General features: G+C 55.0%; 2 protein-coding genes and 1 long non-coding RNA gene across 8 annotated transcripts in view, besides 27 other annotated features; 1 reads left to right on the top strand and 2 right to left on the bottom strand.

The window, feature by feature from the left end:
- Positions 1–807, bottom strand: part of FBXL18 (F-box and leucine rich repeat protein 18) — a 59,385-nt gene extending 58,578 nt beyond the window's left edge. For all 6 annotated transcript variants that reach the window (NM_001363441.2, NM_001367781.1, NM_001367780.1 and 3 more), the window contains exon 1: positions 655–807. In NM_001363441.2, coding sequence (NP_001350370.1) covers positions 655–672 — 18 coding nt within the window. In that variant the 5' untranslated portion in view covers positions 673–807. The remainder of the gene's footprint in view (positions 1–654) is intronic.
- Positions 264–850: an enhancer, noted in NCBI's record as "H3K27ac hESC enhancer chr7:5552897-5553483 (GRCh37/hg19 assembly coordinates)". NCBI's record gives its function as "activates a minimal SCP1, AML or CMV promoter by ChIP-STARR-seq in primed H9 embryonic stem cells {active_cell/tissue: H9 hESC(primed)}" and the evidence as "EXISTENCE:reporter gene assay evidence [ECO:0000049][PMID:30033119]".
- Positions 734–793: an enhancer, noted in NCBI's record as "active region_25582". NCBI's record gives its function as "activates an Ori minimal core promoter by ATAC-STARR-seq in GM12878 lymphoblastoid cells {active_cell/tissue: GM12878}" and the evidence as "EXISTENCE:reporter gene assay evidence [ECO:0000049][PMID:35858748]".
- Positions 804–973: an enhancer, noted in NCBI's record as "active region_25583". NCBI's record gives its function as "activates an Ori minimal core promoter by ATAC-STARR-seq in GM12878 lymphoblastoid cells {active_cell/tissue: GM12878}" and the evidence as "EXISTENCE:reporter gene assay evidence [ECO:0000049][PMID:35858748]".
- Positions 804–1,437: a biological region, named in NCBI's record as "H3K27ac-H3K4me1 hESC enhancer GRCh37_chr7:5553484-5554070".
- Positions 851–1,437: an enhancer, noted in NCBI's record as "H3K27ac-H3K4me1 hESC enhancer chr7:5553484-5554070 (GRCh37/hg19 assembly coordinates)". NCBI's record gives its function as "activates a minimal SCP1, AML or CMV promoter by ChIP-STARR-seq in primed H9 embryonic stem cells {active_cell/tissue: H9 hESC(primed)}" and the evidence as "EXISTENCE:reporter gene assay evidence [ECO:0000049][PMID:30033119]".
- On the top strand, positions 852–12,543 carry LOC221946 (uncharacterized). The gene is made up of 4 exons (NR_126168.1): positions 852–1,196; positions 8,483–8,627; positions 8,712–8,844; positions 11,341–12,543. It is a non-coding gene; the product is annotated as an uncharacterized LOC221946 (long non-coding RNA).
- Positions 1,438–2,023: an enhancer, noted in NCBI's record as "H3K27ac-H3K4me1 hESC enhancer chr7:5554071-5554656 (GRCh37/hg19 assembly coordinates)". NCBI's record gives its function as "activates a minimal SCP1, AML or CMV promoter by ChIP-STARR-seq in primed H9 embryonic stem cells {active_cell/tissue: H9 hESC(primed)}" and the evidence as "EXISTENCE:reporter gene assay evidence [ECO:0000049][PMID:30033119]".
- Positions 10,008–10,447: an enhancer, noted in NCBI's record as "active region_25584". NCBI's record gives its function as "activates an Ori minimal core promoter by ATAC-STARR-seq in GM12878 lymphoblastoid cells {active_cell/tissue: GM12878}" and the evidence as "EXISTENCE:reporter gene assay evidence [ECO:0000049][PMID:35858748]".
- Positions 10,518–10,687: an enhancer, noted in NCBI's record as "active region_25585". NCBI's record gives its function as "activates an Ori minimal core promoter by ATAC-STARR-seq in GM12878 lymphoblastoid cells {active_cell/tissue: GM12878}" and the evidence as "EXISTENCE:reporter gene assay evidence [ECO:0000049][PMID:35858748]".
- Positions 10,878–10,977: an enhancer, noted in NCBI's record as "active region_25586". NCBI's record gives its function as "activates an Ori minimal core promoter by ATAC-STARR-seq in GM12878 lymphoblastoid cells {active_cell/tissue: GM12878}" and the evidence as "EXISTENCE:reporter gene assay evidence [ECO:0000049][PMID:35858748]".
- Positions 11,088–11,137: an enhancer, noted in NCBI's record as "active region_25587". NCBI's record gives its function as "activates an Ori minimal core promoter by ATAC-STARR-seq in GM12878 lymphoblastoid cells {active_cell/tissue: GM12878}" and the evidence as "EXISTENCE:reporter gene assay evidence [ECO:0000049][PMID:35858748]".
- Positions 11,948–12,007: an enhancer, noted in NCBI's record as "active region_25588". NCBI's record gives its function as "activates an Ori minimal core promoter by ATAC-STARR-seq in GM12878 lymphoblastoid cells {active_cell/tissue: GM12878}" and the evidence as "EXISTENCE:reporter gene assay evidence [ECO:0000049][PMID:35858748]".
- Positions 12,328–12,377: an enhancer, noted in NCBI's record as "active region_25589". NCBI's record gives its function as "activates an Ori minimal core promoter by ATAC-STARR-seq in GM12878 lymphoblastoid cells {active_cell/tissue: GM12878}" and the evidence as "EXISTENCE:reporter gene assay evidence [ECO:0000049][PMID:35858748]".
- Positions 13,028–13,337: an enhancer, noted in NCBI's record as "active region_25590". NCBI's record gives its function as "activates an Ori minimal core promoter by ATAC-STARR-seq in GM12878 lymphoblastoid cells {active_cell/tissue: GM12878}" and the evidence as "EXISTENCE:reporter gene assay evidence [ECO:0000049][PMID:35858748]".
- ACTB (actin beta) lies at positions 14,146–17,599 on the bottom strand. Its single transcript, NM_001101.5, has 6 exons — positions 17,522–17,599; positions 16,533–16,661; positions 16,159–16,398; positions 15,279–15,717; positions 15,002–15,183; positions 14,146–14,889 (listed from the first exon to the last, which is right to left on the bottom strand). The coding sequence occupies exons 2-6, from the start codon at positions 16,653–16,655 to the stop codon at positions 14,746–14,748; spliced, it is 1,128 nt and encodes a 375-aa protein (NP_001092.1). The 5' UTR covers positions 16,656–16,661; positions 17,522–17,599; the 3' UTR covers positions 14,146–14,745.
- Positions 14,485–15,355: an enhancer, noted in NCBI's record as "H3K27ac-H3K4me1 hESC enhancer chr7:5567118-5567988 (GRCh37/hg19 assembly coordinates)". NCBI's record gives its function as "activates a minimal SCP1, AML or CMV promoter by ChIP-STARR-seq in naive H9 embryonic stem cells {active_cell/tissue: H9 hESC(naive)}" and the evidence as "EXISTENCE:reporter gene assay evidence [ECO:0000049][PMID:30033119]".
- Positions 15,027–15,086: an enhancer, noted in NCBI's record as "active region_25591". NCBI's record gives its function as "activates an Ori minimal core promoter by ATAC-STARR-seq in GM12878 lymphoblastoid cells {active_cell/tissue: GM12878}" and the evidence as "EXISTENCE:reporter gene assay evidence [ECO:0000049][PMID:35858748]".
- Positions 15,097–15,146: an enhancer, noted in NCBI's record as "active region_25592". NCBI's record gives its function as "activates an Ori minimal core promoter by ATAC-STARR-seq in GM12878 lymphoblastoid cells {active_cell/tissue: GM12878}" and the evidence as "EXISTENCE:reporter gene assay evidence [ECO:0000049][PMID:35858748]".
- Positions 15,307–15,576: an enhancer, noted in NCBI's record as "active region_25593". NCBI's record gives its function as "activates an Ori minimal core promoter by ATAC-STARR-seq in GM12878 lymphoblastoid cells {active_cell/tissue: GM12878}" and the evidence as "EXISTENCE:reporter gene assay evidence [ECO:0000049][PMID:35858748]".
- Positions 15,307–16,225: a biological region, named in NCBI's record as "NANOG-H3K27ac-H3K4me1 hESC enhancer GRCh37_chr7:5567989-5568858".
- Positions 15,356–16,225: an enhancer, noted in NCBI's record as "NANOG-H3K27ac-H3K4me1 hESC enhancer chr7:5567989-5568858 (GRCh37/hg19 assembly coordinates)". NCBI's record gives its function as "activates a minimal SCP1, AML or CMV promoter by ChIP-STARR-seq in naive and primed H9 embryonic stem cells {active_cell/tissue: H9 hESC(naive and primed)}" and the evidence as "EXISTENCE:reporter gene assay evidence [ECO:0000049][PMID:30033119]".
- Positions 16,226–17,095: an enhancer, noted in NCBI's record as "NANOG-H3K27ac-H3K4me1 hESC enhancer chr7:5568859-5569728 (GRCh37/hg19 assembly coordinates)". NCBI's record gives its function as "activates a minimal SCP1, AML or CMV promoter by ChIP-STARR-seq in primed H9 embryonic stem cells {active_cell/tissue: H9 hESC(primed)}" and the evidence as "EXISTENCE:reporter gene assay evidence [ECO:0000049][PMID:30033119]".
- Positions 16,226–17,546: a biological region, named in NCBI's record as "NANOG-H3K27ac-H3K4me1 hESC enhancer GRCh37_chr7:5568859-5569728".
- Positions 16,377–16,586: a silencer, noted in NCBI's record as "silent region_17917". NCBI's record gives its function as "represses an Ori minimal core promoter by ATAC-STARR-seq in GM12878 lymphoblastoid cells {active_cell/tissue: GM12878}" and the evidence as "EXISTENCE:reporter gene assay evidence [ECO:0000049][PMID:35858748]".
- Positions 16,553–17,250: a silencer, noted in NCBI's record as "fragment chr7:5569186-5569883 (GRCh37/hg19 assembly coordinates)". NCBI's record gives its function as "represses an EF-1alpha promoter that drives an FKBP-Casp9 reporter gene in an ReSE screen in phorbol 12-myristate 13-acetate-treated (for megakaryocytic differentiation) K562 erythroleukemia cells {active_cell/tissue: K562(+PMA)}" and the evidence as "EXISTENCE:reporter gene assay evidence [ECO:0000049][PMID:32094911]".
- Positions 16,637–17,546: a silencer, noted in NCBI's record as "silent region_17918". NCBI's record gives its function as "represses an Ori minimal core promoter by ATAC-STARR-seq in GM12878 lymphoblastoid cells {active_cell/tissue: GM12878}" and the evidence as "EXISTENCE:reporter gene assay evidence [ECO:0000049][PMID:35858748]".
- Positions 17,647–17,976: a silencer, noted in NCBI's record as "silent region_17919". NCBI's record gives its function as "represses an Ori minimal core promoter by ATAC-STARR-seq in GM12878 lymphoblastoid cells {active_cell/tissue: GM12878}" and the evidence as "EXISTENCE:reporter gene assay evidence [ECO:0000049][PMID:35858748]".
- Positions 18,737–19,016: an enhancer, noted in NCBI's record as "active region_25594". NCBI's record gives its function as "activates an Ori minimal core promoter by ATAC-STARR-seq in GM12878 lymphoblastoid cells {active_cell/tissue: GM12878}" and the evidence as "EXISTENCE:reporter gene assay evidence [ECO:0000049][PMID:35858748]".
- Positions 19,977–20,056: an enhancer, noted in NCBI's record as "active region_25595". NCBI's record gives its function as "activates an Ori minimal core promoter by ATAC-STARR-seq in GM12878 lymphoblastoid cells {active_cell/tissue: GM12878}" and the evidence as "EXISTENCE:reporter gene assay evidence [ECO:0000049][PMID:35858748]".

A 20,174-nucleotide genomic window follows, 5' to 3' on the forward strand; every position in this document is an offset into this window, starting at 1 on the left:
AGATAGGCAGGAAGCATCAACGGGAAGCCACTAGTCAGAGTCTAGAGTCCCCGCTGCACCCCTTTCTGCAGAGACAATACTTTGCACCACATTACAGGGACGCGGCGGGCTTCTCCATCGGACCCAGATTTGGGGAGTGTTGGGAAAGAATTCCAGGGTACGTCGTAAGTCCCTCAGGTGAAATGGCTTTTCCTCCATCACCCACCCCCCACGTCATTCAGCAAGCAGGCTCCAGGGAGAAGTGGGCTGGGGCTGAAACTGAGCATCCAGAGATAGAAGATGGAGTGGGACGTGGGCACGGAGGGGGAATGTCCCAGGGCTGCAGGGGCCCAGCCAAGGAACCGGGGCACTGAGAAAGGGGTCTCGGAGGAGCCTGGACCCTCAGGGGACGGAGAGACGGGGACAACTCTGGCGATCAGGAATGCACGAGCGAAGGGGGAGACAGCTTGTGCCTTCCGAGACAGGGTAGGAGTCTTGGGGACAGGATGCGGGAAGGACGGGAGCAGGGGCAAGGCCAGGGTCAGGATGGGAAGGACGGGGCGGGGTAGGGGTCGGGATAGAAAGGATGCAAGGGAACCCGGGTCGGGATGGAAGAACCCAGGGAGACCGAGGCCGCCGAGGCAGAAGCAGAGCGGAGACAGTCGCGGACAGTACCTCTCCGGAGCTGGCCATGTCGCCGGCGGGTCCGAACCGCGGCCGCGGGATCCGCAACCCCGTGCCTCCCACCTGCCCGGCTAGGGATGCTCGAAGCCGGCGCGTCCACCGCTCAACCGAGACCCCGGCAAGGAGCGGGCTCTCGTCACTTCCGGCGCCCGCCTACACGCACTTCCGTTCGTCCGCAGGCGGGCCCTAGGCGGCCGCCATGTTGAATGTGGCTCCGCCCGGGGAGCTGCTGGAGTACGAGGGAGCCAAGAAGGGCTCCAAGGACCTCTGCCTCTTCTCTGAGCTCGTTCTTAGGCCCCTCTGCCGTCTGCACGCTCCTTTCCAGCCACCCGGCCTCCCGATGCCGGCCTAGCACGTTCCTCGCGCCAGGCTTTTGCATCTGCCCTTCCCACTGTCTTTCGTGTGCAAACGCCACAGGTCCTGCGCACCGCACCCCTCATGGAATAGCGTCGCCTCCTCTCTACCTTCACACACGCCCCGAAACTTGCCTCTCATCCTGTGTCTCTATAGATTTTTGCACCATCTGACCGACGGTATCTTTTTTTTTTTATCCTCCTCTAATAAACTGTAAGCAGGGACAGGATTTCCCAATACCTGAAACTATCCCTGGAATGTGATAGACACTGACTGAATACATATTTGCTAAGTAAACATGAATGTATGCACCCTCATACTTAAGCGTTTGCGTTTTAAAATAATTAGACCCGGCCGGGCTTGGTGGCTCATGCCAGTAACCCCAGCACTTTGGGAGGCCGAGGCGGGCGGATCGCCTGAGGTCAGGAGTTTGAGACTAGCCCGGCCAACATGGTAAAACCCCGTCTCTACTAAAAATACAAAAATTGCTGGGCGTGGTGGCGCACGCCTGTAGTCCCAGCTATTCGGGAGGCTGAGGCAGGAGAAGTGCTTGAACCCGGGAGACGGAGGTTGCAGTAGCTGAGATCTGGCCACTGCACTCCAGATGGAGCAACAGAGTGAGACTCCGTCTCAAAATAAATACATACATACATACATACATACATACATACATACATACATACTTAGAGCCGACAGGATGGCTCACGCCTGTAATTCCAGCATTTCAGGAGGCCCAAGCGGGAGGATCCCTTGAGGCCAGTCGTTCCAGACCAGCCTGGGCAACACAGCAAGAACCCCCAGGCCCTCTACAAAAAATAAACATTTCCTGGAGACTGAGGGGGAGGATCGCTTGAGCCCAGGAGTTCCAGGCTGCAGTGAGCTGAGATTGCGCCACTCCACTCCAGCCTGGATGACAGAGCAAGACTCTTGTCTCCTCAACAAATAAATACATAAAAATATTTTACTAATAAAAATCCCTGGGGAAAGTTCATTCTCTGGAATCAAAAGAACTGGGTTTGAGGCCAAGCACAGTGGCTCACGCCTGTAATCCCAGCACTTTGGGAGGCTGAGGCAGGAGGATCGCTTGAGCCCAGGAGTTTGAGACCAGCCTGGGCAACACAGCAAGACTTCTTTCTACAAAAAAATAAGACGAAGAAAGAAAAAAAAAAAAGGCCAGGCGCAGTGGCTCATGCCTGTAATCCCAGCACTTTGGGAGGCCGAGGCAGGTGAATCACCTGAGGTCAGGAGTTCGAGACTAGCCTGACCCCGTCTCTACTAAAAAAATAAATACAAAAATTAGCCAGGCGTGGTGGTGTGCACCTGTAATCCCAGCTACTTGGGAGGCTCAGGCAGCAGAATTGCTTGAACCCAGGAGATGGAGGTTGCAGTGAGCCAAGATGGTACCTCCAACCTGGGCAACAGAGCGAGACTCCATTTCAAAAAAATAAAATCTTAAAATCATGAAAAAAAAAAAGAAGAAGAAAGAAAGAAAAAAGAACTGGGTTTGAATACTGGAACTAATTCTGGGTGACCCTAAGCAAGTGTATTCATTTTCTAGGGCTGGCCTAACAAAGTTTCACAAACGGGGTAGCGTAAACAGCAGAAATGTCTTCTCTCACAGTTCCAGAGGCCAGAAATCGTAAATAAAGATGATAGTGGATCATGCTCCCTTCAAAGGCTCTAGAGGATCCTCCCTTGCTTTTTCCTTTTAATTTTATATATATATACACATATATAAATATACATATATACATATTTTTTTGTTGAGATGGAGTCTCGCTCTGTCGCCCAGGCTGGAGTACAGTGGCGTGATCTCAGCTCACTGCAAGCTCCACCTCCCGGATTCACGCCATTCTCCTGCCTCAGCCTCCCGAGTAGCTGGGACTACAGGCGCCTGCCACCACGCCCAGCTAATTTTTTGTATTTTTAGTAGAGACGGGGTTTCACTGTGTTAGCCAGGATGGTCTCGATCTCCTGACCTCGTGATCTGCCCACCTCGGCCTCCTAAAGTGCTGGGACTACAGGCGTGAGCCACCACGCCCGGCCAATTTCATATATTTTTTAATAGAGACAGGGTCTTGTTGTGTTACCCAGTCTGGTCTTGAACTCCTGGGTTCAAGTGATCCTCCTGCCTCAGCCTCCCAAAGTGCTGGGATTACAGGTGTGAACCACCATGCCAACATTTTTCGTAGCTTGGGTGGTTCCCTGAAATCCTTGGAGTCCCTCGGCCTGCAGCTCATTACTACAATTTCTTCCTCGGTCTTCAGGTGGCCGTCTCTCCACTGTCTCTCTATGTGTCCTCTCCTCGTCTTCTGACACCAGTCATGTTGGATTTAAGGGCTCGTCTTTTTTTTTTTTTTTTTTTTTTGAGACGGAGTCTGGCTCTGTCGCCCAGGCTGGAGTGCAATGGCACGATCTTGGCTCACTGCAACCTCCGCCTCCCGGGTTCAAGCGATTCTCCTGCCTCAGCCTCCCGAGTAGCTGGGATTACAGGCACGTGCCACCACACCCAGCTCATTTTTGTATTTTTAGTAGATACGGGGTCTCACCACTTTGGCCAGGATGGTTTCGGTCTCTTGACCTTGTGATCCGCCCGCCTCGGCCTCCCAAAGTGCTAGGATTACAGGCGTGAGCCACCGCACCCGGCCAGGGCTCATCTTAATCCAGCATGATTTCACCTTAACTAATTGCAATCCAACATGATTTCACCTTAACTAATTACATCTGCAAAGACCCCATTACAAATAAGGCCATATTCTAGGCCGGGGGCCGTGGCTCATGCCTGTAATCCCAGCACTTTGGGACGCCGAGGCAGGCAGATCACGAGGTCAGGAGATGGAGACCATCCTGGCTAACACGGTGAAACCCATCTCTACTAAAAATACAAAAAATTAGCTGGGCATGGTGGCGGGCGCCTGTAGTCCCAGCTACTCACGAGGCTGAGGCAGGAGAATGGCATGAACCTGCGAGGCGGAGCTTGCAATCAGCGGAGATCGCGCCACTGCACTCCAGCCTGGGCGACGAGCAAGACTCCGTCTCAAAAAATAAATAAATAAATAAATAAATAAATAAATAAGGCCATATTCTGAGGTTCCAGGTGGACATGAATATCTGGGGGACACTGTTTACCCTAGCACATTGAGTTTCATCTCATAACCCCCAGGCCTCTTTCCCCCTCCAACTTCATAGGCTTGATCCACTTATTAGTATGAAGAGGTCTCTGGTGAGCTCCAATTGTGGATCACGGGGGTGGCTGGGGAACAGAGGGACAGTCCTTGCCCCCAAAGAGCTCATGGTTTCGTCCACAGTAAAGTACAACTTTAGGTATCACAAAAATGAGTGTTGGGGCGGGTGCAGTGGCTCACACCTGTAATCCCAGAACTTTGGGAGGCCGAGGAGGACAGATCACCTGAGGTCAGGAGTTCAAGACCAGTCTGGCCAACATTCAAAACCTCGTCACTACTAAACATACAAAAATTAGCCAGGCATGGTGGCGGGCGCCTGTAATCCCAGCTACTCGGGAGGCTGAGACAGGAGAATCTCTTGAACCTGGGAGGCAGAGGTTGCAGTGAGCCAAGATCACGCCACCGCACTCCAGCCTGGGGGATAAGAGCGAAACTCTGCCTCAAAAAAAAAAAAATAGTGTTAATGATAGTTCCCATTGTTTGCTATTGGGGCCTAATTCTGGCCCAGGCAAGCATCTGGGAGAGTTTCACAGAACCCTGAAGTTTCTCTCCTCCAGGCCTCCTGCCACCTGCCTGTCCTCCTCCTTTCTCCTCTGCTCAGCCACTCTGGTCCATGATGTGTGAAACACTCAAGGTCTCATCTACGCACTGCAAGGGTCCCTTCTCTGGGGAAAATACTTTCCCCCTGGTCTTGCTGGTTCTGGCCATAACTCAAATGTTGCATCTTCCTAGCACGTCTTCCCTGGAATTCTCTTTCCCAGCCTCTCTGACCCATTCCTCCTTTTTTCCCTATAATCTGTTACAAGATGTGCTTTTCTTTTTTTTTTGTTTTGTCTTTTCTTTTTTGAGATGGAGTTTCGCTCTCGTTGCCCAGGCTGGAGTGCAACGGCACGATCTTGGCTCACCACAACCTCTGCCTCTCAGGTTCAAGCAATTCTCCTGCCTCAGCCTCCCGAGTAGCTGGGATTACAGGCATGCCTGGCTAATTTTGTTTTTTTTTTTTTTTTTTTGAGACAGAGTCTCGCTCTGTCGCCCAGGCTGGAGTGCAGTGGCAGGATCTCGGCTCACTGCAAGCTCCGCCTTCCGGGTTCACGCCATTCTCCTGCCTCAGCCTCCCGAGTAGCCGGGACTACAGGTGCCCGCCACTGCGCCCAGCTAATTTTTTGTATTTTTAGTAGAGACGGGGTTTCACTGTGGTCTCGATCTCCTGACCTCGTGATCCGCCCGCCTCTGCCTCCCAAAGTGCTGGCATTACAGGCGTGAGCCACCGCGCCCGGCGAATTTTGTATTTTTAGTAGAGACGGGGTTTCTCCATGTTGAGGCTGGTCTCGAGTTCCTGACCTCAGGTGATCTGCCCACCTCGGCCTCCCAAAGTGCTGGGATTACAGGCATGAGCCACCGCTCCTGGCCACAAGATACGTTTTTCATTGCAGCAGTCCTTCCCTTCCCCTTTCCCTCCCCTTCCCCTTCTCCTCCCCCCACTCCCTTTTTTTCCTTTCCTAGATAGGATCTTGCTCTGTTATCCAGGCTGGAGCGCAATGGCACAATCACAGCTCTCTGCAGCCTCAACTCCTGGACTGAAGCAGTCCTCCCACCTCAGCCTCCCAAGGGAGAGCTGGGACCACAGGCATGCACCACAATGTCCAGCTAATTTTGTTTATTTTTTGTACTGACAGGGTCTCACTTTGTTGCCCAGGCTGATCTCAAACTCCTGGGCTGAAGCGATCCTCCCACCTCCCAAAGTGCTGGGATTACAGGCATGAGCCACTCTGCCCAGCCTGACCTGTTTATTTTCTGTCCTCCACTAGAACAGTGCTTGGCAGTAGCAGGCCCTTGATCAATGTTTGCCAAATAAATGGTGAATTGAATGAGATGATGCATCTCGTGTCCAGTGCAGAGGAGTGATTCAATCAACAGAAACTATAACCACTAATACTGTTATGAATTCTAGTAAGGAAGGACTCCCACATTGCATGGGTGTCCCCAAGTTTCAGGAACATTCAACATGAAAACCAATGAGGCTGGGTGCAGTGGCTCACACCTGTAATCTCAGCACTTTAGTCTCTACTAAAAATACAAAAATTCGCCCGGTGTAATGGCGAGCACCTGTAATCCCAGCTACTGGAGAGGGTGAGACGTAAGAAACACTTGAACCCAGGAGGCGGAGGTTGCAGTGAGCCGAGATTGCGCCACTGCACTCCAGCCTGGGTGACAGAGAGAGACTCCATCTTGAAAAAAAAGAAAGATGGAAACCAGTGAGTGTTGGGTGCAAAGACCCCAGGGGCAGAGTCGGTGCCAGCACCTGGCTGCTCTTATTCTCACACAGGCCTTTCTGGGATTGGAGAGGCCGGATCTGGGTGACAGTTCCTCACAGTGTCCCCACAGCTCATGGTGTGAGAGCCCCCTGGAGCGCCTGGCTGACTGTGGTGGGCAGTGGGACCCTGAGGCCAGGACAGAGCACTAGGCCCTGTGAGTTCACTGAGACCCTGGCACAGGACCCAGAAATGAGGCAGGCTATGGTAGTGGTCTGTGACCGCCCCACTCTCCACTCCTTTTCAATTCATCCACAGTGGGGTCCGAAGCCAGGCGCAGTGGCTGTAATCCCAGCACTTTGGGAGGCAGAGGTGGGAAGATTCCTTGAGTGCAGGAGTTCGAGACCAGCCTGGGCCAACTGGCGAAACCCCATTACGACAAAAATTAGCCAGGATGGTTGCAATGCTACCATCTATCTTTCTTTTCTTTCTTTTTTTTTTTTTTGAGATGGAGTTTCATTCTTGTTTCCCAAGCTGGAGTGCAATGGCATGATCTTAGCTCACTGCAACTTTTGCCCCCTGGTTTCAAGTGATTCTCCTGCCTCAGCCTCCCAAGTAGCTGGGATTACAGGCACCTGCCACCATACCCAGCTCATTTTTTTGTATTTTTAGTAGAGACGGGGTTTCGCCACATTGGCCAGGCTGGTCCCCAACTCCTGACCTCAGGTGATCCAACCGCCTTGGCCTCCCAAAGTGCTGGGATTACAGGTGTGAGCCACTGCGCCTGGTCGCCATCATCTATCTTTCTTTCCTTTTCTTTTTCTTTCTCTCTTTCTTAAATAGAGAAAGAGTCCCACTGTGTTGCCCAGGCTAGTCTCTAAACTCAAGAATGAATTCTAGGCTGGGCGCTGTGGCTCACGCCTGTAATCCCAGCACTCTGGGAGGCCGAGGCAGGTGGATCATGAGGTCAGGAGTTCGAGACCAGCCTGGTCAACATGGTGAAACCCTGTCTGTACTAAAAATACAAAAATTAGCCTGGTGTGGTGGCACACCCCTATAATCCCAGCTACTCGGCAAGCTGAGGCAGGAGAATTGCTTGAACTCAGGGGGCGGAGGTTGCAGTGAGCCGAGATGGTGACATTGCACTCCGGCCTGGGTGACAGGGCGAGACTCTGTCTCAAAAAAAAAAAAAAAAAGTATGAATTCTAGTGTAAACCGTGGACTCTGGGTGATACCGTGTCAACGCAGTTTCATCAACTGTAACATGTAACCCTCTGGTGGGCGTGTGGATAGAGGGGGAGTCTGTGGGTGTCTGGGGACAGCGGGTACCTGGGAACTCTGCACTCACCATTCAGTTTTGTTGGGAACCTAAAACTGCTCTAAAAAATAAAGTCTATTAATTTTTTTGGAACTGCGTTTTTGTTTTTTTTTTGAGACGGAGTTTTGCTCATGTCGCCCAGGCTGGAGTGCAATGGTGCAATCTCAGCTCACTGCAACCTCTGCCTCCCAGGTTCAAGCAATTCTCCAGCATTGCCTCCTGAGTAGCTGGGATTACAGGCATGTGCTACCACACCCAGCTAATTTTTTTTTTTCCCCAAGACGGAGTCTAACTCTGTCACCCAGGCCGGAGTGCAATGGCGTGATTTTAGCTCACTGAAACCTTCACCTCCCGGGTTCAAGTGATTCTCCTGCCTCAGCCTCCTGACTAGCTGGGATTGTAGGCACGTGTCACCATGCCCAGCTAATTTTTGTATTTGTAGTAGGGACAGGGTTTCGCCATTTGGCCAAGCTGCTCTTGAACTCCTGACCTCAAGTGATCCACCCGTCTCAGCCTCCCAAAGTGCTGGGATTACAGGTGTGAGCCACTGGGCCAGGCTTGAACTGCATATCTGGCCTTCTCACTCCTGGGGATCCTCCCACTCATACCTAATGGCCTCAGGGCCGTTGCATGAGCTACTCACCTTGGTGAGTGGCCCTCACCCCAACTATGGCTAATTTCTCTTCATCTTCCTCACATCCCTTCTGCAGAACCCCTACCCTTCCCTAGACCATGTCACGATTCCGTCGCATCCTCTGCCATTGTCCCTCGGAATATTCCTAGATGGCATTTATCACTGTGGATAGTTACCACTACTCAGCGTTTTGGCTAAGATCAAGTGTTCCATCATCGTGGGTAATTAAATATGCATTTTTAATTAATTAAATATTTAAGTAATTAGTCATATTTGATTAATTAAATATCTGCATTTAATTACAGGTGGCTCATACGTGTAATCCCAGTACTTTGGAAGGTGGAGGCAAGAGGACTGCTTGAGGCCAGGAGTTTCAGATCAGCCCAAGCAATATAGCAAGACCTCCATCTCTACAAAAGATTTTTAAAAATTAGCCAGGTGAGGCCGGGTGCGGCGGCTCACGCCTGTAATCCCAGCACTTTGGGAGGCTGAGGTGGGCGGATCATTTGAGGTCAGGAGTTCGAGACCAGCCTGGCCAACATGGTGAAACTCCATCTCTAGGCTGGGCCTGGTGGCTCACGCCTGTAATCCCAACACTTTGGGAGGCCGAGGCGGGCGGATCACGAGGACAGGAGATCGAGACCATCCTGGCTAACACGGTGAAACCCCGTCTCTACTAAAAATACAAAAAATTAGCCGAGCGTGGTGGCAGGTGCCTGTACTCCCAGCTACTTGGGAGGCTGAGGCAGGAGAATGGTGTGAACCCGGGAGGCGGAGGCTGCAGTGAGCCGAGATTGCCCCACTGCACTCCAGCCTGGGCGACAGAGCAAGACTCTGTCTCAAAAAAAAAAAAAAAAGGAAAGTCTTGGCCAGGCGCAGTGGCTCATGCTGGTAATCCCAGCCCTCTAGGAGACCAACAGATAGAAGGATCACTTGAGGCCAGGAGTTCGAGGCTGCAGTGAGCGACGATTACACCACTGCACTAAGCCTGGGCAACAGAACAAGATCACATCTCTAAAAATAAAAATAAAATAGCCAGGCGTAGTGGCTCACACCTGTAATCCCAGAACTTCAGGAGGCCGAGGGAGGTGGATCACCTGAGGTTAGTAGTTCGAGACCAGCCTGGCCAGCATAGTGAAACCCCATCTCTACTAAAAATACAAAAGAAATTAGCCTGGTGTGATGGCGTGTGCCTGAAATCCCAGCTACTCAAGAGGCTGAGACAGGAGAATCGCTTGAACCCAAGAGGCAGAGGTTGCAGTGAGCCGAGAACACGCCATTGCACTCTAGCCTGGGTGACAAGAGTGAAACTCCATCTAAAAAAATAAATAAATAAAATAAAAGGGCCTCATGCCTGTAATCCCAGCACTTCGGGAGGCCAAGGTGGGCGGATCACCTGAGGTCAGGAGTTTGAGACCAGCCTGTACAATATAACGAAACCCTGTGTCTACTAAAAACACAAAAATTAGCCAGGCATGGTGGCACGCGCCTGTAGTCCCAGCTACAAGGGAGGATGAGACAAGAGAATTGCTTAAACCCAAGAGGTAGAGGTTGCAGTGAGCCGAGATCGCACCACTGCACTCCAGCCTGGGTGACAGAGTGAGACTCTGTCTCAAAAAAATAACAAGAATAAAATAAAATGAAAGTACTGATGGAGTGCACCCGCTACAGTCACCTTCCAGTTGTTACTGATATGCCCAATTCTCAAATGGGGATATGGGCAGTGATGTGACTTCCCAAAGCCACATAGACAACGTGTCTGACAATCAACCAATGCTCCATTCTGTCTTGGAGGTTGTATCTCCTCTTTGGGCCTGTGTCCCCAGTCAATCCATGCCTCTGAGACACACCACCTCCCCAGGGGACTCCTCTGGCCTCCGGAGCCAGCTCAAGCATTCTTCCTCCAGGAAGCCCTCTGGGGAAGCCTACTCAAGAGTGACGGCCCAATTAGCCAGGCATGGTGGTCCACACCTGTAGTCCCAGCTACGTGGGAGGTCGAGGCGGGAGGATTGTGTGAGTCCAGGAGTTGGAGGTTACAGTAAACTATGATCACAGTGCTGCACTCCAGCCTGGGTGACAGAGTGAGACTCTGATTGTAAAAAATGAAATAGGCTGGACGTGATGGCTCACGCCTGCAAACCCAGCACTTTGGGGAGCCAAGACGAGTGGATGGCTTGAGGCCAGGAGTTCAAGACCAGCCTGGGCAATATAGCAAGACCCCATCTCTACAAAAAATAAAACAACAGAAAAAGAGTGACAGCTCCTCTCTCCCTACCCCCATGTCTGCCCATGTTCAGTGATCCTTTGCTTTTTTTTTTTTTGAAATGGAGTCTCACTGTGTTGCCCAGGCTAGAGTGCAGTGGTGCGATCTCAGCTCACTGCAACCTCCACCTCCCAAGTTCAAGCGATTCTCCCGCCTCAGCCTCCTGAGTAGCTGGGATTACAGGTGTGCACCACTATGCCCAGATAATTTTTTGTATTTTCAGTAGAGATGGGGTTTCACCACGATGGCCAGGCTGGTCTCGAACTCCTGACCTCATGTGATCCGACTGCCTCGGTCTCCCAAAGTGCTGGGATGAACTCTTGACCTCACGTGATCCGACTGCCTCAGTCTCCCAAAGTGCTAGGATGACGGGCATGAGACACTGCACCTGGCTCCTTTGTTTTTTGGGGGGAGGGGACAGAGTCTCACTCTGTCTCCCAGGCTGGAGTGCAGTGACACAATCTTGGCTCAATGCAACCTCTGCCTCCTAGATTCAAGTGATTCTTCTGCCTCAGCCTCCCGAGTAGCTAGGATTACAGGTGCACGCCACCCTGCCCGGCTAACTTTTGTGTTTTTAGTAGAGATGAGGTCTCACCATGTTGGTCAGGCTGGTCTCCCTTTGCTTTTTAAAATCTGTGTTTCTGGCCCTCTTCCTCTTTCTCTTGGAGTAGGTGGTGGCAGCAGACGCTTGTGCAGCTATACGCAAGATTAAGGCTGGGACTTCCTTGGCAAGAAGCAGGAGCTGCTGAAGTTGCTGGTCAACCTATGGGTGAAGCTGTCCCAGCTGTGCATCACCAATGTCAGCAGTCCCGTCTTTTTGACACCAGGGACCAGTTTCGTGGAAGATAATTTTCCCATGAATGGGGGCAGGGGGATGGTTTTGGGATGATTCAAGCACATTACGCTTATTGCGTACACCATCTCTATTATTACATTCTAATATATGATAAAATAATTCTACAACTCATCATGATATAGGATCAATGAGAGCCCTGAGCTTCTTTCCCTGCAACTAGATAGTCGCATCTGGGGCTGATGGGAGACAGTGACAGATCATCAGGCATTAGATGCTCATAAGGAGTGCACAACCGCCGGGCGTGGTGGCTCACGCCTGTAATCCCAGCATTTTGGGAGGCCAAGGCGGGTGGATCACCTGAGGTCAGGAGTTTAAGACCAGCCTGGCCAACATGGCAAAACCCTGTATCTGTGAAAAATACAAAAACTAACCAGGCGTGGTGACACATGCCTGTAATCCCAGCAACTCAGGAGACTGAGACAGGAGAATCGCTTGAACCCAGGAGGCAAAAGTTGCAGTGAGCCAAGATCACACCACACCACTGCACTCCAGCCTGGGTGACAGAACAAGACTCCATCTCAAAAAAAAGAAAAAAATTGAGACAGGATCTCACTATGCTGCCTAGGCTGCATTTGGGCTCAAATGACCCACCTGCCTCAGCCTCCCAAAGTGCTGCGATTACAGGCGCGAGCCACCACGCCTGCCTGGCCTATTTTAATTTTTAAGAGTCACGGTCTTGTTCTGTCACCCAGGCTGGAGTGCAGTGGTGCAATCATAGCTCACTGCAGCCTTGAGCTCCTGGGCTCAAGTGATCCTCCCACCTCAGCTTCCCAAAATGCTGGGATTACAAGCATGCGTCACCACAGCAGGCCCAATTAGATAAGGTTTGAAGTATGTCTACACCTGCAAGACCACCACCACAATCGACATAATGAACATCACCCGATGCTCGTGTTCATCAAAGTCTCTGCTCTCTCTTCCTATGATCACAGCATGTCACTGTACACTCATTTGTTTGCCTTCGTGCTTGTGATGTCTTCCCCATTAAACTGGGTGCCTGGTGAGGACACGGAACACATCTGGTTGGTTCTCCTCTATACCCGCACTATCTGGCACAAATAGTGATTGGATGGATGGATGGATGGATGAATGAATGGATGAATGAGCAAATGAATGAATGAATGAGCAAATGAATTAAGTCCTCAATGAATGAATGAATGAATGAATGAATGGGCAAATGAATTAAATCCTCACTTCCAGACTGACAGCTCCTCCAGGGCAGGGTCCTTGTCCAGGTCATCTCAGTAGCCTCCCCCACCGTAGAGTGGTCACTCAATGAATGGGGGTTGAATGATTAAGTGGCCCAAGGTGGCCCAGGGCTCACCACTGCAGAAATCAGACCAAAAGAGCTAGAACCACCCCAGAGAGCCCTTCAGGGGACCTCCAAGATAACACAGGAGGAAGGGTACCACCTTCCTCTCTGCCAGTAGGCCACTGTGCACAGTTGAGAGTCCAGGCCTCCTGGGGGGACCGGATCATTTCCAGAACAACTGCTATGCACCAGGTGGTGTTTGGGGTAAACGGCATCCCTGCAAGGGATCCTCACCCCCTTTTCTTCCTTCATTCTCTGCTGGTGTCAATCACAGCTTCTAGCAGAGGGAAGGCAGGCCAGGCTTGGTTTCTTCTTGCGAGAGTATTTAACTCAGGGCCCTGTAGAACAATGAGAATCTGACCTGCAACTAGCTGGGCGTGCTGGGGCATGCCTGTGTAGTTTCAGCTACTTGGGAGGCTGAGGCAGGAGAATTGCTTGAGCCCAAAGTTGAGGCTGCAGTGAGCCATGGTTGTGCCATTACACTCCAGCCTGGGCAACACAAGACCCCGTCTCAGAAATAAAAAGAGAACCTGGCCTGCAGTGCCAGGCAGGCCCTGAGGTCCAGGAGCCTGGGTATCTCCCTCTGCAGCATGGGTCACGAACAAACTGGGCCCTCAGAGGCCACGGGATGGCGCCCAGTCTCCAGTCACAAGGCAGAATCCAGACCTCAGCCCATAGCTAACCAGAGCTGTCTGCAGGCCAGATATGGCCCCATGGACCCCCTACCCCAACTTGACTTTGATTCCAGGTCCCCCTCTGTCTGGATGAACAGGTAGGAATTGCGGCCTCTCCTAAGCCTATGGGAGCCTGGGCCAGGCTGACCCTCAAGGCTGACAGCCACGATCCCATAGGTGAAGGCAAAGGCGTGGCAGCTAGGAACACCCACTACACCCCCACTCAAGGGAACACCGTGCCCAGCTACCCTGAGACAGCCCCACTCCCAGGAAATGCAGGTGCCAACCAGCCCCAGTGAGGCATGGCACCTGAGCCAGACACCCCCAAATAGTCCCTTCCCACCTCCTCAAGCATCTGCACTCTGGGTGAACCCAGAAAAACTGGGGTACCTGGGGAGACATAGAAGGGCCAGGCCAGGAACTCCCCAATAAGCAGGAACAGAGACCTGACCCCTGAGCCTCCCCCACCCTCTAAGGCTGCTCAATGTCAAGGCAGGAGGGATCTCCACACACCTGCACTCTGGGTAAGGACAAGTTGGCCCCCACTGCCCCACCCTTTTGCAGGGTTCACCCTCCTGCAGGGTTCACCCTCTGCTGCCCCCAACCCAGCCACACCACAAAGTCACACTTGGCCTCATTTTTAAGGTGTGCACTTTTATTCAACTGGTCTCAAGTCAGTGTACAGGTAAGCCCTGGCTGCCTCCACCCACTCCCAGGGAGACCAAAAGCCTTCATACATCTCAAGTTGGGGGACAAAAAAGGGGGAAGGGGGGGCACGAAGGCTCATCATTCAAAATAAAACAAAATAAAAAAGTATTAAGGCGAAGATTAAAAAAATTTTGCATTACATAATTTACACGAAAGCAATGCTATCACCTCCCCTGTGTGGACTTGGGAGAGGACTGGGCCATTCTCCTTAGAGAGAAGTGGGGTGGCTTTTAGGATGGCAAGGGACTTCCTGTAACAACGCATCTCATATTTGGAATGACTATTAAAAAAACAACAATGTGCAATCAAAGTCCTCGGCCACATTGTGAACTTTGGGGGATGCTCGCTCCAACCGACTGCTGTCACCTTCACCGTTCCAGTTTTTAAATCCTGAGTCAAGCCAAAAAAAAAAAAAAAACCAAAACAAAACAAAAAAAACAAATAAAGCCATGCCAATCTCATCTTGTTTTCTGCGCAAGTTAGGTTTTGTCAAGAAAGGGTGTAACGCAACTAAGTCATAGTCCGCCTAGAAGCATTTGCGGTGGACGATGGAGGGGCCGGACTCGTCATACTCCTGCTTGCTGATCCACATCTGCTGGAAGGTGGACAGCGAGGCCAGGATGGAGCCGCCGATCCACACGGAGTACTTGCGCTCAGGAGGAGCAATGATCTGAGGAGGGAAGGGGACAGGCAGTGAGGACCCTGGATGTGACAGCTCCCCACACACCACAGGACCCCACAGCCGACCTGCCCAGGTCAGCTCAGGCAGGAAAGACACCCACCTTGATCTTCATTGTGCTGGGTGCCAGGGCAGTGATCTCCTTCTGCATCCTGTCGGCAATGCCAGGGTACATGGTGGTGCCGCCAGACAGCACTGTGTTGGCGTACAGGTCTTTGCGGATGTCCACGTCACACTTCATGATGGAGTTGAAGGTAGTTTCGTGGATGCCACAGGACTCCATGCCTGAGAGGGAAATGAGGGCAGGACTTAGCTTCCACAGCACAGCCCCGAGGGGTAACCCTCATGTCAGGCAGAGCCGGGAGACAGTCTCCACTCACCCAGGAAGGAAGGCTGGAAGAGTGCCTCAGGGCAGCGGAACCGCTCATTGCCAATGGTGATGACCTGGCCGTCAGGCAGCTCGTAGCTCTTCTCCAGGGAGGAGCTGGAAGCAGCCGTGGCCATCTCTTGCTCGAAGTCCAGGGCGACGTAGCACAGCTTCTCCTTAATGTCACGCACGATTTCCCGCTCGGCCGTGGTGGTGAAGCTGTAGCCGCGCTCGGTGAGGATCTTCATGAGGTAGTCAGTCAGGTCCCGGCCAGCCAGGTCCAGACGCAGGATGGCATGGGGGAGGGCATACCCCTCGTAGATGGGCACAGTGTGGGTGACCCCGTCACCGGAGTCCATCACGATGCCAGTGGTACGGCCAGAGGCGTACAGGGATAGCACAGCCTGGATAGCAACGTACATGGCTGGGGTGTTGAAGGTCTCAAACATGATCTGTAAGGCAGAGATACACCATGTCACACTGGGGAAGCCACTGGGGACAGCCAGGCCAGACGGGGGACATGCAGAAAGTGCAAAGAACACGGCTAAGTGTGCTGGGGTCTTGGGATGGGGAGTCTGTTCAGACCTACTGTGCACCTACTTAATACACACTCCAAGGCCGCTTTACACCAGCCTCATGGCCTTGTCACACGAGCCAGTGTTAGTACCTACACCCACAACACTGTCTTAGACACCTAGTCAGAGAGACAAACACCAGAAAAAGAGCTCATCTGGGAAAAAGCAAATAGAACCTGCAGAGTTCCAAAGGAGACTCAGGTCAGAGAAGAGAGTCCTACGGAAAACGGCAGAAGAGAGAACCAGTGAGAAAGGGCGCAGCTCCGGGAGGCCAGGAAGGAGGGAGGCGGCCACCAGAAGAGGTAGCGGGCCACTCACCTGGGTCATCTTCTCGCGGTTGGCCTTGGGGTTCAGGGGGGCCTCGGTCAGCAGCACGGGGTGCTCCTCGGGAGCCACACGCAGCTCATTGTAGAAGGTGTGGTGCCAGATTTTCTCCATGTCGTCCCAGTTGGTGACGATGCCGTGCTCGATGGGGTACTTCAGGGTGAGGATGCCTCTCTTGCTCTGGGCCTCGTCGCCCACATAGGAATCCTTCTGACCCATGCCCACCATCACGCCCTGGGAAGGAAAGGACAAGAAGCCCTGAGCACGGGCGCAGCCCCCACCCCGGAAACCGGGAGGCTCCTGTGCAGAGAAAGCGCCCTTGCCTCCCGCCCGCTCCCGGGGCTGCCCCACCCAGCCAGCTCCCCTACCTGGTGCCTGGGGCGCCCCACGATGGAGGGGAAGACGGCCCGGGGGGCATCGTCGCCCGCGAAGCCGGCCTTGCACATGCCGGAGCCGTTGTCGACGACGAGCGCGGCGATATCATCATCCATGGTGAGCTGCGAGAATAGCCGGGCGCGCTGTGAGCCGAGGTCGCCCCCGCCCTGGCCACTTCCGGCGCGCCGAGTCCTTAGGCCGCCAGGGGGCGCCGGCGCGCGCCCAGATTGGGGACAAAGGAAGCCGGGCCGGCCGCGTTATTACCATAAAAGGCAAACACTGGTCGGAGGCGTCCCCGCGGCGCGCGGCAGGAAGCCAGGCCCCAACCCCCTCCCAACCGGGCGCCAGCCCCGCCTCCGCCCGGTTCAAACAGCGCCGGGTCGGCGCGCGCGCACGCAGCGGCCACACCCTCGGGCGGCCAGCGGCTCGGGCAGGAAGTGCGCGCAAGCGCCCGGGAGCCGCGGCGACCCCACCCCTTCCGGCCGAGCCCGCCTTCGCCCCAGCCCAGGCCGCGGCACCCCGGGCCCCAGAACGCACGCGCAGTTAGCGCCTTGAGTCCCAGCGCGCACGCGCAATTAGCGCCAATTCCCAGCGCGCACGCAGTTAGCGCCCAAAGGACCAGCGCGCACGCGCAATGGCGCCCCAGCCCCCACCGGGCCTGGCGGGGGCTCCGCCGCGCCCACCCTGCGATCCCCATTGGCAAGAGCCCGGCTCAGACAAAGACCCCGCCGGTTGCCCCCGCCCCGAGAGCGGCACCCCCGGAGCGCGCCTCCCGAGCGCGGCCTCGCGCCTCCGAACTGGCGTGGGGTGTCCCCCATCTCCGGAGGCCCAGGGGCTTCTCCCGCGCCCCCCACGGCGGTCCGGTTCCCCCCCCATGCGCCCCCCGCTGCGGCCCAGACGGCGGCTCTGCACGGGCGAAGGGGCCGCGGCCGCCTGCGGCCGGGCCGTGAGCCGCCTGCCCCGGTCGGCTGGCCGGGCTTACCTGGCGGCGGGTGTGGACGGGCGGCGGATCGGCAAAGGCGAGGCTCTGTGCTCGCGGGGCGGACGCGGTCTCGGCGGTGGTGGCGCGTCGCGCCGCTGGGTTTTATAGGGCGCCGCCGCGGCCGCTCGAGCCATAAAAGGCAACTTTCGGAACGGCGCACGCTGATTGGCCCCGCGCCGCTCACTCACCGGCTTCGCCGCACAGTGCAGCATTTTTTTACCCCCTCTCCCCTCCTTTTGCGAAAAAAAAAAAGAGCGAGAGCGAGATTGAGGAAGAGGAGGAGGGAGAGTTTTGGCGTTGGCCGCCTTGGGGTGCTGGGCCCGGGGGCTGGGGGCGCGCGCCGTGGCCCCCGCGCCCCACGCTGGGCAGTGCCCGGTTCGGCCCCGCATGGCCAGGCCTGCCCCCGGCCTGCCCGTCTCTCGGGCCCCCCACCCACCGCGGGACATCCTAGGTGTGGACATCTCTTGGGCACTGAGCGCCCAGGTGGGGTGGGCCAGGGTCTGCACGGGTGCCAGGGCCCTGGGTTCTGTACGCTCCTGCAGAAGGAGCTCTTGGAGGGCATGGAGTGGCCAGGCAGTCACTCCCCCTTGCCGACTTCAGAGCAACTGCCCTGAAAGCAGGGCCTGAGGACCTCTGGCTGTGGGGCTCAGCTAGCTAAATGTGCTGGGTGGGTCACTAGGGAGAGACCTGGGCTTGAGAGGTAGAGTGTGGTGTTGGGGGAGTCAGGTGGCTTGCGGCCACTTAGAAGTCGCAGGACCACACTCCCCAGGACAGGGCAGGGGCCAGCGGTCCAGTGGCTGGAGGTGGCCCGTGATGAAGGCTACAAACCTACCCAGCCGCAGCCCTGGGAAGGAAGGTGGGCTCTACAGGGCAGGGCACCTTTTACCCTGGAGCTGCCTGCTTTTGAGGGTAACAGTCACGCCCAGCCAAGACAAGGCCTGGGGCGTTAGTGGGTGACCTAGGCACTGCGGGGCGGGGGGGCTGGGTCTACACAGCCTGGGTCTGGGCCCACCGTCCGTTGTATGTCTGCTATGCGCAGCCACAGCTGAACTGCCCTCCCAGACCATCTGGAGGCCGCTGGGGGACTCTGGGGACCAAGACTCCATGTGCCACAGAGGATTGGGGGCGGGGCGGTGCTAGGAACTCAAAGCCAGCCTGGGAAGACCCTGTCCTTGTCACCCTTTCTTGCCTTGGGTCTGTCCACTGAGTAGCACACAAGACCGGGTGGGCAGGGTCCGTTCTGCTCCGGGAATCACAGACTGTGTGTACCCAGGTGGTGGGCATGCAGCGATCAGTGGCGTGGGACCACAGAGGGGCATTCGGCTCAGCCTAGAGGAACCTGCCTTCCTCCTCCTCCCCCTCCTTGGAGGTGGTGACAAGAAGCTGGATTTTTACACAAAAATAGGAAGAGTGGTGAGGTGGGGGCACCTCAGGCCTGCGGGGCTCTTTGCAGCGCGTAGTAGGTGTTCACTGAGTGTGTGTCGCAATAGGCAAAGATGAGTCCATATAAGGACATGGAACCTGTGGCCAGGAAGGAGGCTGCTTGTTCCAGTTCACGGTACAAGGCTGTGCTCAGCCAATGGGACCTGCTCCTCCCTTGAAGGTTGCAGAGGCCACAGCCTGGTGGGAAAGATGACCACCACCCAGCACACAGTGGCAGACACAGGTTCACAGTCCAGAAGACTTGCTGAGCCTCCTCCATCACCACCCCACGCAAGGGCAAACTTCCCCAGCCTGTATACTCCCTGCCTCCTGGGGATGGGACTGTCCTGTCCCTGGCCTTGTATCTTTCAGCTGCAGGCGTCTTGCCAGCTGCCTCAGGACCTGCCAACGTTCACCCGGCTGGCGTTGTGGGGCGATGGGCGGGGGGCCCTTCTTGCTGCCTGTTGATGAGGGCTGGTTCTGGGGGTTCGTGGAACGTTGAACTGGGTGGAGTGCTGGGGGGGTGGGGTGGGCAGTGGGGATGGGACCGGATCTGCAGAGCAGGGATGAGAGGTTGTCAGGTGGGCGGCTCCAGGCAGCAAGGTGGGGTGCAGAGCAGACCTGATCCCCAGGCAGGACCTGTGTTGCCACTGGGCCTCCATTCAGCTGGCCAAGAGACAGGAGCTCCAGCCCCACCCCGCCCCGGGCTGCAGCATTCCTGGCCTGTCCTCCTGGCTTGTGGTTCCCTCTGTCTGCAGCGGCCACTTCCTAGTGCTCTCCTATGCACCCTTCAAGTCCCATCCCAGAAAGCCCCTCTTTGGGGAAGCGTTTTAGCCTCTGCAGCCACGCCTTCCTCCCTACCTCAGACCAAGGCTTGCAGCTGGCATTTAGAACTGGGCCTCAGCCACCAGGCTGCGAGCCCTCCCAGGGTCTCCGTCACCCCCACTCCTTCCCACTACACCCACCCCAGGGCTCCTCGCTGTTGAATGAGTGACTGCCTGGGTGTCCTCAGGTGGCAGGTTGGAGGTGGCCGAGCAGCCTGGGGTGAGGGGCAGGGAGGAGCTGAAGAGAGAAAGCAAGCAGCGGAGCAGGAAAAGAGGAAGTAGAGGTGCCTGGCCAGGGGGCGGGCCGAGCAGGGGAGAAGTGAACAGGTTCTCTTCTGTGCTTGGGAACTTTGCCCTGTAAGGGAGCTTTCGGAGCTGTCACTGGGGCACGCACGCAGCCCCCGGAG

This window comes from Homo sapiens, chromosome 7 (genome assembly GCF_000001405.40).
Source record: "Homo sapiens chromosome 7, GRCh38.p14 Primary Assembly".
NCBI lineage: Eukaryota > Metazoa > Chordata > Mammalia > Primates > Hominidae > Homo > Homo sapiens.

Coding starts and splice junctions, on each gene's coding strand:
- ACTB (NM_001101.5), bottom strand. CDS start 16,655: ATGGATGATGATATCGCCGCGCTCGTCGTCGACAACGGCTCCGGCATG. Junction 15,184..15,278: donor CTTCCAGCCTTCCTTCCTGG/GTGAGTGGAGAC, acceptor TTTCCCTCTCAG/GCATGGAGTCCTGTGGCATC. Junction 14,890..15,001: donor CCAGCACAATGAAGATCAAG/GTGGGTGTCTTT, acceptor TTCCCTCCTCAG/ATCATTGCTCCTCCTGAGCG.